Source organism: Homo sapiens, chromosome 22 (assembly GCF_000001405.40).
Source record: "Homo sapiens chromosome 22, GRCh38.p14 Primary Assembly".
NCBI classification, from domain to species: domain Eukaryota; kingdom Metazoa; phylum Chordata; class Mammalia; order Primates; family Hominidae; genus Homo; species Homo sapiens.
Genome location: NC_000022.11, coordinates 11,823,590 through 11,838,677, shown reverse-complemented (window position 1 = coordinate 11,838,677; position 15,088 = coordinate 11,823,590). Strand labels below are relative to the sequence as shown.

General features: G+C 45.7%; 1 long non-coding RNA gene and 1 pseudogene across 1 annotated transcript; both read right to left on the bottom strand.

The window, feature by feature from the left end:
• Window positions 1-2,709: 2,709 nt before the first annotated feature.
• LOC107984037 (uncharacterized) lies at window positions 2,710-13,401 on the bottom strand. The gene is made up of 3 exons (XR_001755416.3): window positions 13,131-13,401; window positions 5,763-5,917; window positions 2,710-3,950 (listed from the first exon to the last, which is right to left on the bottom strand). It is a non-coding gene; the product is annotated as an uncharacterized LOC107984037 (long non-coding RNA).
• On the bottom strand, window positions 8,510-9,871 carry LOC107984030 (translation initiation factor IF-2-like; annotated as a pseudogene).
• Window positions 13,402-15,088: the final 1,687 nt, after the last annotated feature.

The following is a 15,088-nucleotide window of genomic DNA, read 5'->3' as shown; positions in this document are numbered from 1 at the left end:
TGAGCTGAGATTTCTTTACTTGTATCTGTATTCTGAGACCGGGTCTCACTCTGTCACTCTGGCTGCAATGCAGGGGTGCACTCATAGCTAACTGCAGCCGTGACCTCCTGGGCTCTGGGGATCCTCCTGCCTCACCCTCACCATAGCTACAGCTACAGATGAACACCAAAACACCCAGCTAATTTTTTTTTTTTTTTGTAGAAAGAGGAGCCTTGCTATGTTGCCCAAGCTGGCCTCAAACTCCCGCCCTCAAGAGATCTGCCCACCTCAACAACCTAAGTAACAGGTTCTACAGGAAAATACCACTATGCCGGGATAATTATATTTTATTAATTTTTATTTGCATAGACAGGAGGTCTTGCTGTGTTGCCCAGGGTGGTCTCAAACTCCTGGACTCAAACCATTCTCCCATCTCTGTCTCCCAAAGTGCTGAAGCTACAGGCATAAGCCACTGCACCTGGCCCGACTTAAGATTTCTGTAATCTAGCATCCCATACTTCATATAATTGGGAAAAGCAGTAGTGGTTTTTTTTTTAATTACTTAGTATTTCAACAAGAATCAACCATCTCTCACCATTGCCAGGGCCCTGGTCAGAACCACTATCATCTCCCACCTGGAGGTTGCCACAGCATGGCCTCCCTGCTTCTACCCAAATCTTCCCACAATCTTTCTCAACTCAGCTGCCATGGGATGCTTTTAAATCAGTAGACAGTTCGTGTCACCTCTCTGCTCAGAACCCTTCTGCTTCTCCCATCTCAGACAGAATAAAAACCAAAGCCCCAGCAATAGCCTCCCAGGGCTTACACAATCTGTACTGATCTGAGTCCAACAACTCCCTGGCCTCCTTCCCTACTTCTCTCCCTCTCTCTACTCCACAGACCTCTTTCCTGAGCTTCAGACACACCACGGAGTTCCCTCTTAGCATCTTTATTCTGTTGTTTCTGCCTACAATGCTCTTCCCTCAGTACCTTAGCCAGCTCCTTCCCCTCCTTCAAGTCTTTGCTCAATTTTCACTTAGGAGGCCAACCCTGACCACTCTATTTAATATTGCTATCTGTCCCTATTCCTGCCATGCTCACTCATTTCTTTTTTCTTTTTTTTTCTAAGATATAATCTCGCTGTGTCACTCAGACTGGGGTGCCATGGCACGATCACAACGCACTGAGACCTGGAGCACCTAGGTCAAGAAATTGTCCTGCCTCAGGGCCTCTAGTAGCTAAGACTACAAGTGCATGCCACCACACCCGCTAATTTTTTTTTTCCATGTCGACAGGGTATTATTTTGTTGCCCAGACTTACCGTGAACTCCTGGGCCAAAGCAACCATCCTGCCTCAGCCTCCTAAATAGCTGGAATTATAGGTGTGGGCCACCAATTCTGGCTTCATGTTCATTTCTTCTTGCCGCTGTTACAAACTACCCTACATTGAGTGGCTTAATACACCACAAATCTACTAACTAAGAGGTCTGGGGGCCAGAAGTCCAAAATAGGTCTATTAAGGCTAAAGTCAAGGTGCCAGCAGGACTGCATCCCTTCTGGAGGTTCTGGAGAGAATATGTTCCCTTGCCTTTCCCAGTTGCTAAAGCCACTCCTATTCTTTGGCTCATGGCCCCTAACTGCATCTTCAAAGCCAGAAGCAAAGCATATTCGAATCTCCCTCTGTGACCTGTGCTTCCATCATCAAATCTCCTTCAATTCGGACTCTCTTACCTCCCTCTTTCACTTATAAAGACCTCTTGTGATTGCTGGACACAGAGGCCGTGGCTCACAACCATAATCCCAACAGTTTAGGAGGTCAAAGCAGGAGAAACGTTTGAGGCCAAAACTTCAGGACCAGCCTGGGAAACACAGCGAGACCCCCTCAATTAAACAACAAAAAGAAATAAGAAAAAATTAGCTGGGCATGGTAGTATGCATCTGTAGTTTCAGCTACTTGAGAGGTTGTGGTGAATGGATCGCTTTAGCCCCAGAGTTCAAGACCAGCCTCGGCAATATAACAAGATCCCACCTCTCCAAAAATATACAAAAATTAGCTGGGCATGGATGGTGTGCACCTGTAGTCCCAGATGCTTGGAAGGCTGAGGTGGGAGAATTGCTTGAGCACAGGTGGTTGAGGCTGCAGTTAGCTACAACAACATCACTGCACTCCAGATTGGGTGAAACAGAGACTCTGTGTTCAAAAGAAAAAGAAAAGAAATACACATTTGGTTTCTGCCCGTCATCCTGGCACAGAGCTTCTCAAGCTCTTATAAAGGCCTTGGTGATGAAGGTGATGGGGCATCTTCTGTTTCAATATTTGGTCTTAGTCCCAGGTTTCTAACACAAGAGCCTCTAAGACCTTTGGGATCACCATAGTAAGAATGCATTTGGTGATGTTACTGAGATGACTGGGTGACTGAAAACTCCTAGACAGCTTCAGAAAAAGGGGTGGTTGTTGTCAGAAGAACAAACCATGTGATTAGAGGCTTGGAACTGTCAGCCTCACCCCCTGGGCTCCAGGAAGAAATAGTGGCCGAAGACTGACTTAATCACCAATGGTCAATGACTTCATCAATCTTGCCTGCATAATGAAGCGTTCATAAGCGCCCTCAACAACTGGAGTTGGAGAATGTCTGGGTTGCTGAACACAAGGGAGATACCAGGAAGGTAACATGCACAATAGAGGACATGGAAGTTCTGTACCCCTTTCGACATACCTTGCCCTGTGGGTTTTTTTTTTTTGAGACAGAGTCTGGCTCTGTCTCCCAGCCTAGAGTGCCATGGCACAATCGTGGCTCACTGTGAACTATGCCTCCCTATCTCAAGCCCCATCCTCTCATCCTCTCACCTCAGCCTCCTGAGTAGCTAGAATTATAGGCACTGAGTAGCTAGAACTATAGATAACTGTGCCTGGCTAATTTTTAGAAAAATCTTTTTGTAGAGATACATTTCCACCTTGTTACCCAGGCTGGTCTTAATCTCCTGAGCACTTAAGCGATGCTCCCGCCTCAGTCTCCCAAAGTGCTGAAATTACAGGCATGAGCCACTGTGCCCAGCATGTACATCTCTTTCACTGGCTGTTTCTGAGATTTAGCCTTTAAAATGAACCAGTAAAAGAAAGTAAATTGGTGAGATGCAGTGGTTCATGCCCATAATCCCAGCATTTTGTGAAGTTGAGGTGGGAGGATCACGTGAGCCCAGAAATTTGAGACCAGCCTGGGCAACATAACAAGACCCCATCTCTACAAAAAGTAAAAGAACATAGCCAGATATGCTGGTACAGGCCTATAATCTCAGCTATTTGGGAGGCTGAGGTGGGAGGATCACTTGAACCCAGGAGTCCCATGCTACAGTGAGCTTTGATCACACCACTGCATTCCAGCCTGGCAACAGACTGAGACCCTGTATCTCAGGAAAAAAAGAAAACAATCTGTTTTTCTGAGTTCTGCAAGCTGTCCGAGCAAATGATTCCACCCACCAATGGGGGTCATGAAACCCTGTTTTCTAACTGGTTGGTCAAAACTACATGTAACAACCCAAGACTTGCAATTGGCATGTGGAGTGAGGGTAGACTCCTGGGACTGAGCTCCCATCCTGCGGGGTCTGCACTAACTCCAGGGAGTGTCAGGATGGAATTGTGGGATACCCAGTTGGGATCCAGATTGTCTGAAAATCAGTGTAGAAACTCCACATGCACATTTGGTCAGAGGTGTTTGATCGTAACTACTATTCACGAAAAAGGTCTACTCATTAGAACTAAAAATCACAAAATTGTAAGTTCTACGAAAACAAATCAACCTTATCTACCGCCCAGTCCTACCGAACTACAGAATGTGAGAACAGAAGGTCTGACCATGGAGGCGAGAGCTGACAGGAATGTCACCACCATCCTGCTCTCCAAGGACTCCTCATCTTCAACAGACTCCTCATCTTCAATGGGCAGGGTGGAAACTGCAACTTGTGCCATGATCCTTGCACAGGAAAAGTAGTAAGAAAATGAGTGGTAGAAATCCAGTGTCCTAAACTCACATCCAGAGCTGTGAGAGTTTTTTACTGGCTGGATAATTCACAGTTTTCTTGAATCAGGGGAAAAATAAGACTCAGAAACTAGGAATTCGTTTTGCCCAAAACTCTCATCAGATACAGAATCCATCCGCTAACTATCTAGTATTATTTCCATAAGTTAGATCAATTATCACTCCCAAAACAAATGCACATGGCACCCAGAATCTGTGCATTTCTCCCAAGTAAAAGAGGAGGTGGACGGGCGCAGTGTCTCATGCCTTTAACCCCAGCACTTTGGGGGGCCAAGGTGGGTGGATCACCTGAAGTCAGGAGTTCAAGACCAGCCTGGCCAACATGGTGATACCCTTTCTCTACTAAAAATAAAAAAAAGTTAGCCAGGTGTGGTGGCATGTGCCTGTAGTCCCAGCTTCCTGGGAGGCTGAGGCAGGAGAATCACTTGAACCCAGGAGGCTGAGGTTGCAGTGAGCAGAGATCGCACCACTGCACCTCAGCCTGGACGACAGAGTGAGACTCTGTCTCAAAAAAAAAGGAGGGGAGGAAAGGAGGCAAGGCACTTTACAACCCAGTGATGGGCTACCACAACTCAGCACAGCAAAGAGTTGCCAAGCTCCCTTTCTCTCCTGCACAACCCGACACAGAAGAGTTGGTGCAGTGGAATGAGGCTGGATGGAGAGAAGTTCCTCTTCTTTCTTTCCTTTTTTTTTTTGAGATGAACTCTCGCTCTGTCACACAGGCTGGGGTGCAGTGGTGCAATCTCGGTCACTGTAACCTCTGCCTTATGGGTTTAATCAATTCTCTGCCTCAGCCTTCCGAATACCTGGGATTAGAGGCACCCCCCACCACACCCAGCTAATTTTTTTTTTTTTTTTAGTGGAGACTGGGTTTCACTATGTTGGCCAGGCTGGTCTTGAACTCCTGACCTTAGGTGATCTACCCACTTCGGCCTCCAAAAGTGCTAGGATTACAGGCATGAGCCGCTGTGCCCAGCCAAGAAGTTCCTCTTCTTACTTAGAAAACAGATCACAGGGCATCAAGTAACACGTAAAATCCTTTATAATAAGCAGTATTATTTTTGGAAAACCTTTCCTAATATTTTGGTATCAGCAAAAAGCCTCAGATTAATTTCAAACACTATAAAAATACAATACATAAACAGAAAATATTAACTGTCAGCAATGCTATAGAGAAATTGGAAGCTGTATGCATTGCTTTTTGGAATGTAAAATGGTACAGCCCACTGTGGAAAATGGTTTAGCAGCTCCTTAAAAATATGAAGCATAGAATTATATGATCCATCAACACCCTTTAAGCGTATATACCCAAAAGAACTGAGAGCAGGGACTCAAACAGGTATTTGTACACCCAATTAACAGCAGCATTATTCACAGTGGCCAAAAGGTAGCCCAAACCTAATGCCCATCAGTAGGTGAATAGATAAAGAAAATGTAATATATACATACACAGAGTATTATTCAGCCATAAAAAGAAAAATATCTGGCCAGATTCAGGGGCTTACACCTGTAATCCCAGTATTTTGGGAGGCCAAGGTGGGCAGGTCTCTTGAGCCCCATATTTTGAGACCAGACTGGACAACATGGCACATTTGGTTAGAAGTGTTTGACCATAACTACTATTCCAGAAAAAGATCTACTCATTAGAACTACAAATCATAAAATTATAAGTTCTACAAAAACAAATCAACCTTATCTACCACCCAGTTCTACCCAATTATATCATGTTAGAACAGAAGGTCTCACCGTGGACTCGAGAGCTGATATGAGAAATGTTACCACCATCCTGCTCTCCACGGAATCATCTTCAACAGACTCCTCATCTTCAATGGACTCCTCATCTTCCATGGACTCCTCATCTTCCATTGGCAGGGTGGAAACTGCAACTTGTGCCATGATCCCTGTGCAAAAAAGTAGTAAGAAATTGAATGGTAGAAATGCAGTGTCCTAAACTCAGATCCAGAGCTGTGAGAGTTTCTCACCGGCTGCCAAATTGTTTTTTGGGTCAGAGAAAAAAATAAAACTTGGTAACCTGGTACTCGACTTGCCCCAAACTCTCATCAGATAGAGAATCTATCCGCTAACTTTCTATCTAGTATTATTTCCATGAAGTTACATCAATATCACTCCCAAAATAAATCCAGGTGGAAGACTAAATCCAAAGCTAGCAGAAGGAAAGAAATAATAAAGAGCATAATTAGAGCATAAATCAATAAAATAGAAGGTTGGAGAACAGTAGAATGAAAAAATGTAGATTCTTTGAAAGATCAAGCCTTTCACTATATTGACTGAGCAAAAGATGGGAGACTAATTATTAAAATAATAAATGAAAGCAGAGCCATTACTACCAACTTTACAGAAATAAAAAAGGATTACAGGAGTATACTGTGAACAACTGTCTAGCAACAAATTAGGTGCCCTGGATGAAATGGATGAATCGCTAGAAAGACACAAACTACCAAAGTGGCTCAAGAAGAAAGAGAAAATCTGAATAGACCTATAACCTAGGAGATTGAATTAGTAATCGAAAGCGATTAACAAAGAAACATGTATGACCAAATAGCTGCATTAACTGGTGAGTCAACCTAACATTTAAAGAAGAATTAATACCATTTCTTCTCAAACTCTTCTGACAAAATATATGAAGAAGGAATACTTGCTAATTCATTTTTTGATAACAGCATTATCCTTATACCAAAGACAAAGAGAGCACAAAAGAGAGAAATACAGCACTATATCCCTTATGAATATATAAGCAAAAATCTCAGCAAAATACTAGCAATACTAGCAAAATACTAGCAGCACTACTGTATAATCAAAGGATTGTAAACTATCACCCTTTGAGATTTATCCCCAAAATGCAAGCGTGGTTCAACATATAAAAAATCAATCAGTGTAATATGCTGTAACAGTAAAATGAATAAGCACGTGATTATTTCAATTGCTGCAGAGAAAACATTGATGAAATACAACACCCTTCTATAATAAAAATACTCAATAAACTAGGCATAGAAGGGATCTTCTGCAACATGACAATGGGATGTACAAAAACCCAACAGTTAATATCATGATCAATGATGAAACACTGAAAGCTGTTTTCCTAACATCTAGAAGAAAAGGATGGTGCATTTGCCACTTGTATTCAACGTAGCACTGGCAGTTCTAGCCAGAGCAATTAGGCAAGACAAAGAAATAAAAGGCATCTAAATTAGAAATAAAGAATAGGTGTAAAATTATATCTACACATGGTCTTATGGGTATAAAGCTCCAAACAAAACACAAAACCGATTATAACTAATAAAAGAGGCAGGATGCAAACAAACATAGGCAAATGAGCTATATTTCTATATAGTTGTAAAGAACTATGAAAACATTTTAAAAATTCCATTTATAATGACATCAAAGAATACGTTATTCAGGCATAAATCTAACCATGGTGGTATACACAAAACATTGCTGCAAAAAACTAAAGAGAGTGGAAATAAGTGGAAAGACATTCTGTGTTCACGGGTTGTAAGACAATATTGTTAAGATGACAATACCATCTAAAGTAATCTACAGATTCAATGCAATACCATCAAAATCCCAAAGGCATTTTTGCAGAAACAAAGAAACTCATTCTAAAGTCATACAAAAATTCAAAGGATCTGACAGACAAAACAGTCTTGAAAAAGAACATTGGAAAACTCACATTTTTCAGTTTCACAGCCTACTACAAATCTACAGTAATCAAGAGAGTGTGGTACTGGAATAAGACCAATAGGCTTTCAGACCAATACAACAGAACAGATTTGAGATACTACAAGTTAGTCCTCACATATATGGTCAATGACTGTTCAACAAGGTGGCCAAGTCTAGTCAAGGGAGGAAAGAACAGTCTCTTCAACAGCTGGATGTCAGTGCACAAGAGAGAAGTTAGACCCCTACCTTGCAGTATATACAAAAATTAATTCTAAATTAATAAAAGACTTAAATGTAAGGACTAAAAATATGTAACTCTTAGAAGAAAACACACGGTAAACCTTTATGGCCTTTGAGTTTTAAGTGTATTTTGAAATGTGACAGAAAAGCACAGATAACAAAAGAAAATACAGGAAAATTAGATTGAATCAAAATAAAAAACCCTTTATGCATCAAAGGATACTATCAAGGGAGTGAAAAGACAACCCATAATATGTGAGAAAATATGTATCTGATAAAATCAAAATGTGTATCTGATAAAAGCTTAATATCCCACAGCTCAACAACAGAATTTCTAAGATCCCAATTAAAAAATAGTCAAAGGACTTGAACAGACATTTCTCCAAAGAAGATACACAAATGTCTAAGAAGGAAAAGAAAAGATGCTAAACACCATTATTCATTAATAAAATGCAAGGTAAAACCCAAATGAGATGCCACTTTGCATCCACTAGTAAGGCTTTCATAACAACGACACAGAAAATCAATGTTGCTAAGGAGGTGGAGAAACTGGAACCCTCATGAACTGGCTGCTAGGAATAGAAAATGATGCACTTGCTGTGGAAAAGAGTTTGGTGGTTCCTCAAAGAATCACACAGAGAAACAGGCGCCGCTGGCTTGCGGGTTCTCCTGGGCTGGCGCGGGACGTCCCGGAATGGCAGGCGCACATTCCTTCCCGCCTGAGGGCCCGCCTGGCCGTGACTCCCGCCCCTCTCCTCCTCCGAAGAGAGATCGGGGCCACCCCAGGGGCCGTCTGCAGCCACCGGGGATGGTGCTGAGGGTCGGTTCCTGCCCCGGTGCAGCCGCCCCTGGGCAGACCGCCTGGCTTGGTCGCAGCCACGGCGACATCTAGCCCCGGTTCTGCGAGGCTGGGAGCGCCAGCCAGCTTGGGAGTCGCCCGGCGCCTGTAGCTGGGCGCCCAGGTGGTGGAGCATGCCCTGGGCAGCCTCTGGATCGCGGGTGCCCCTGGCCTGAGAGCCTGCCAGACCCTGTCCCGGCCCGGCTCCTCCTCTGTCAGAGCTCCACATCTCTATCCAGGGGCCCTCTGCAGCCACAGGGGATGGGGCTGAGGGCCGGTTCCCGCCCCTGTGCAGCTGCTGCGGGACAGACCGCCTGGCTTGGCCACAGCCACAGGGACATTTGGCCCTGCTTCCGAGATGTGGGGAGTGTGGGCGGGCTCGGGAGTTGCCTGGAGACTGCTGCCTGCACGCAGAAGGCGGCTGCAGCTCGGGTGCCCAGGCGGGCTGGAGGTGCATGGCCTGGTCGGCCTTGGGATCACCAGCGCGCCCAGCGTGAGGGCCCCCAGGCCGTGCCTCCCGACCACTCCTCCACCTGAGGGAGATCGGAGCCATTTGTATGGGCACTCGGCAGTCACCTCGTGTGGGGTTGAGCGGTGGCTTCTCAGTTCTCGCTCCTGTGCAGCTGCTGCAGCAGGGCAGAATGCCTGGCTTGGCTGCAGCCACTGGGACACGTGGCCCTGCTTCTATGATGCTAGGAGCGCGAGCGGGCTCGGGGGTTGCCAGGCAGCTGCTGCCTGCACACAGAGGGCGACGGCAGCTTGGGCGCCCAGATGGCGGAGCATGGTTTGGGTGGCCTCTGGAATGCGTGCGCGCCAGGCCTGAGGGTCACCCTGGTGGGGCCACATACCCCGGTCTTCCTCTGCTGGAGCCTGGAGCAGCTGGAATGGCCACTATTCCGTCACAGGGGATAGAGTTAAGTTTTCTTATCCCACCCATGCACACAAAAAGGTGACTATTCTGTGAGGTAATAAACGTGTTAATTGACTTCATTCATGCCACTCTGCATCCACAAGTAAGGCTTTCATAACAATGACACAGAAAATAAATGTTGCTAAGGAGGTGGAGAAGTTGGAGCCCTCATGATCTGGCTGCTAGGAATAGAAAATGATGCCCTTGCTGCGGAAAACAATTTGTTGTTCCTCACAGAATGAGCATTGGGTGAAAAATGAAATCAAGATGGAAATGTAAAAAATTTCTTTGAACTGGATGACATAACCTATCAAGACCTCTGGGATACAGCAAAGGCACTGCTAAGAGCAAAGTTTGTAGTCCTAAAAACCTACATCAAAAAGTCTGAAAGAGCACAAACAGACAATCTAAGTTCACTTCTCAGGGAACTAGAGAAGCAGGAACAAGCCAAACCCAATCCCAGCAAACACAGGAAATAACAAAGATCAGAGCACAACTAAATGAAATTGACACAACAACAACAACAACAAATACAAAACATAAATAAAACAAAAAGTTGGTTATTTGAAAAGATAAATAAAATTGATAGACCATTAGCAAAATTAACCAAGAAAAGAAGAGAGAAAATCCAAATAACCTCAATAAGAAATGAAACAGGGGATCTTACAACTGACACCACTGAAATATTAAAGATTATTCAAGGGTACTATGAACACCTTTTGGCACATAAACTCCTGGAAAAATACAACTCTCCTAGCTTAAATCAGGAAGAATTAGATACCCCAAGCAGACCAATAAAGCAAGCAGCAAGATTGAAATGGTAATTTTAAAATTACCAGCAAAAAAAGCCGAGGGACAGACAGATTCACAGCAGAATTCTACCAGACATTCAAAGAATGTCTTCTTTCATTCAAGGAAGAAATGATACCAATCTTTTCATACTATTCCACAAGACAGAGAAAGAAGAAACCCTCCCTTATTCATTCTATGAAGCCAGAATCACCCTAATACCAAAACCATGGAAGGACATAACCAAAAAAGAAAACTACAGACCAATATCCTTGATGAACGCAGATGCCAAAATCCTTAACAAAATACTATCTAACTGAATCCGACAACATATCAAAAAATAATCCACCATGATCAAGTGGGTTTTATACCAATGATATAGGAGTGGTTTCACATATGCAAGTCAATAAGTGTGATACACCAAATAAACAGAATTAAAAAAAACTAATATGATTATATCAACAGGTGCAGAAAAAACATTTGACAAAATCTAGCATTGCTTTATGACTAAAGCTCTCAGCAAAATAGGCATACAAGGGACATACCTTAATGTAATAAAAGCCATCTATGACAAACCCACAACCAACATAATACTGAATGGGGAAACGGTGAAAGCATTCCCTTTGAGAACTGGAACAAGACGAGGAGCCTACTCTCACCACTCCTCTTCAACATAGTACTGGAAGTCCTAGCCAGAGCAATCAGACAAAAGAAGGAAATAGAGGAAATCCAAATCGGTAAACAGGAAGTCAAACTGTCACTTGTTGCTGATGATATAATCTTTTGCCTAGAAAACGCTACGGACTCCTCTAGAAACCTCCTAGAACTGATAAAAGAATTCAGCAAAGTTTCCAGATACAAGATTAATGGACACAAATCAGTAGCTCTTCCATACATCAACAGCTACCAAGCAGAGAATCACATCAAGAACTCAACCCCTTTTACAATAGCTGCGACAAACAACAACAAAAAAACAAAACTTAGGAATATACCTAGCAAAGAAATAAAAGGACAGCTACAATGAAAATTACAAAACACTACTGAAAGAAATCATAGATGGAGCCAAGCACGGTGGCACATGCCTATAATCCGAGCTACTCGGGAAGCTGAGGCAGGAGAATCACTTGAACCCGGGAGGCAGAAGTTGTAGTGAGCCGAGATCACACCATTGCACTCACACCTCAGCGACAAGAGCTAAACTCCCTCTGAAAAAAAAAAAAAAAAAAAAAAAAAAACGAAAGAAAATAAGTCATAGATGACACAAACAAATGGAAATGCATCCCCATGCTCATGGATGGGTAGAACCAATATTGTGAAAATTACCATTCTGTTAAAGGCAATCTACAAATTCAATGCAATCCCCATCTGAAAGCCACCATCATTCTTCACAAAATTACAAAAACAATTCTAAAATTAATATGGAACCAAAAAAGAGCCATGTAACCAAACCAAGCCTAAGCAAAAAGAACCTGGAGGTATCACACTACTTGATTTCAAACTGTACAATAAGGCCATAGCTACCAAAACACCAACGTACTGGTTTAAAAATAGGAACATAGAACAATGGAACAGAAGAGAGAACTCAGAAATTAACCCAAATACTTACAGCCAACTGATCTTCGACAAAGTAAACAAAAACATAAAGTGGAGAAAGGACTCCCTTTTCAACACATGATGTTGGGATAATTGGCGAGCCACATGTAGGGGAATAAAACTGGACTCTCATCTCTCATTTTATACAAAAATATACTCAAGATGGATTAAGAACTTAAACCTAATTCCTGAACTATAAAAATTCTAGAAGATAACACTGGATAAACCCTTCTAGACATTGACATACGCAAGGATTTCATGACCAAGAACCCAAATGCAAATGCAATAAAAACAAAGATAAATAGCTGGGACTTAATTAAACTAAACAGCTTTTGCATGGCAAAGGGAACAGTCAGCAGAGTAAATGGACAACTCAAAGAGTGGGACCCCTGAACCTGACCCTGACCCCTGACCCTGATCCCTAACCTCTGACCCTGACCCCTAACCCCTGACCCTAACCCTAACCCCTAACCCTAACCCTTAACCATAAACCCTAAGCCTAACCCCTAACCACAACCCTCACCCTCACACTAATCCAACCCTAACCCCTTATCCCTAACCCCTAACCTCTCCTAACCTCTAACTCTAAACGTTGACTCTTAACTCTTAACTCTGACCCCAACCCCTATCTCAAACCCCAACCCTAAACTTAACCCCTAACCCCTAACCCTAACACCAACCTTAACCCTAGGTTCGTTACTACGTTTGTACTATGCCAATGTTGATTATTATGATCTCTGTCTTAGGACTGCATGGCAGCAAGGGGATTGCGGATCTTATATTAATATTTTTGTATTGAGGCAGTGCATTAGCATTACAGGTGCTTGTTACATGAGCAATGGGGGTGTCATATTTTGGGTGTCATGTCTGCATTAGGAATGCTGCATTTGTCTTCCGAGGCTGCGGTGTGGATCTCGCACTGCGGCCGCCTCGGCTTGGCTGGGGAGAACCTCGGTGGTCAGGATTCAGAGGGGCTTTTGGTTTCCCTTTTCCACACTGAGCCCTTCTAACTGGTCTCTGATCCTGATTATTCAGGGCTGCAAAAGGGAAGGATTTTATTCACCGTCTATGCGGTCCCGAGTTGTCCCAAAGCGAGGCAGTGCCCCAAAGGTCTGTGCTGAGGAGAAGGCTGCTCTGCCTTAGCGGTGTCCCCCGGGTCTGTGCTGAGCAGAACGCGGCTCCGCCCTCGCGGTGCCCCCGGCCCGCCTGGGTCTGTGCTGAGGAGAACACTGCTCCGCCTTCGCTGTATCTCTGAAGTCTGTGCAGAGGAGAACTCAGCTCCGCCCTGGCGATGCTTTCCTTGTCTGTGCTGGGAAGAACGCAGCTCCGCCCTCACAAAGGAGCACAGCGCCGGCGCAGGCCCAGAGAGGCCCACAGCGCTGGCGAAAGGCGCAGAGAGGCCCACAGTGCCGGCGCAGGCGCAGAGAGGCCCACAGCGCCGGCGCAGGCGCAGAGAGGCCCACAGCGCCGGCGCAGGCGCAGAGAGGCAGAAGGCCCATGAGGGGAAGGTGAGACACCTGGGGCAAAGAAGAAAAAAAAATGCGCCGCGAAGCGGTGTCTGGGTCATCCAGGGACGAAAGTTTTTTCCCATCAGCCCTTGCGCTGGGCCCCAGGGACCCTGGCATCCCTGGTTCACGCCCAGGGTGTGCCTCAGGCGACTAGGGGTAACCCAACTTGGACAGAAGGCCCATGAGTGGAAGTTGAAGTTTGTGGGAGGAGAGGTGAGGCAGCAGGGGCAGAAAAAAAAAAAAAGAGGACCGCGTATCAGAGAAGCGGGACCTGGGTTCCCCACGGATGAAAGTGCCTTCCCATTAGGCCCTATGCTGGGCCTGGTGGACACTGGGGACCCTGGTTCAAGCCCAGGGTGCGCCTCAGGACAGCTTGGGGTACCACAAAGCGAACAAAAGGTCCATGAGGGGAAGGTGAGGCACCTGAGGCAGAGAAAAAAAAAACGCTCAGCCGAGAAGCAGTGCCTGGGCCCCCCACGGATGAAAGTGCCATCCCATCAGCCCCTTCCCTGGGCCCTGGGGACCCTGGCGTCCCTGGTTTGACCCTGGGGTACGCCTCGGGACAGTAGGGGTACCCCAAGGTGGGCAGAAAGCCCCTAAGGGGAAGGTGAGGCACCTGGGGCAGAGAAAAAAAGAAAAACTTCGCCGCGGAGAAGCACGGCCTGGGTGCCCCACAGACGAAAGTGTCTTCCCATCAGTCCCTGAACTGGGACCCAGGGACCCTGGTATCCCTCGTTCAAGCTCAGGGTGTGCCTCGGCCGCCAAGTGCACCCCAAGGGGGGCTTTGGGGACACAAAGCCCGTGAGGGGAAGGTGAGTTTTGAGGGAGGAGAGGTGAGGCACCTGTCACAGTAAAAGAAAAAAAAGAAACCCGTGCCGCGGAAAGGTGTGGCCTGGGTACCCCACGGATGAAAGTGCCTTCCCATCAGGCCCTGCACTGGGCCCCGGGGAATCTAGAGTCCCTGGTTCGAGCTCAGTGAGAGCCTCGGGCCACTAGGGGTACCCCAAGGCGGTGGAAAGCCCATGAGAGGAAGGTGAGCTGTGAGGGAGGAGAGGTGAGACACTTGTGGCAGAAAAGAAAAAGAAACCACGCCACGGAGAAGTGGGGCCTGGGTCTCCCATGGAAAGAAAGTGCCTTCCCATCAGTCCCTGCACTGGGCCCCGTGGACCCAGGCGAACCTGGTTATAGGCCTGGGTGCACCTCGGGCCCGCTAGGTGTATCCCAAAGCGGGCAGAAGGCCCATGAGGGGAAGGTGAGGTTTGAGGGAAGAGAGGTGAGGCACCTGCGACAGAAAAAAAAAAAACCGTGCGGAAGAGAAGCGGGACCTGGGTCTCCCACGGACGAAAGTGCCTTCTCATCAGCCCCTGCGCTGGGCCCCCTGGACTCTGGCGACCCTAGTTCAAGGTCCAGAAGAGACTCCAGCATGCTAGGGTACCCTAAGGAAGCCAGAAAGCCCATGAGAGGAAGGCGAGATTTAAGGGAGGAGAGGTGAGTCACCTGTGTCAGAAAAAAA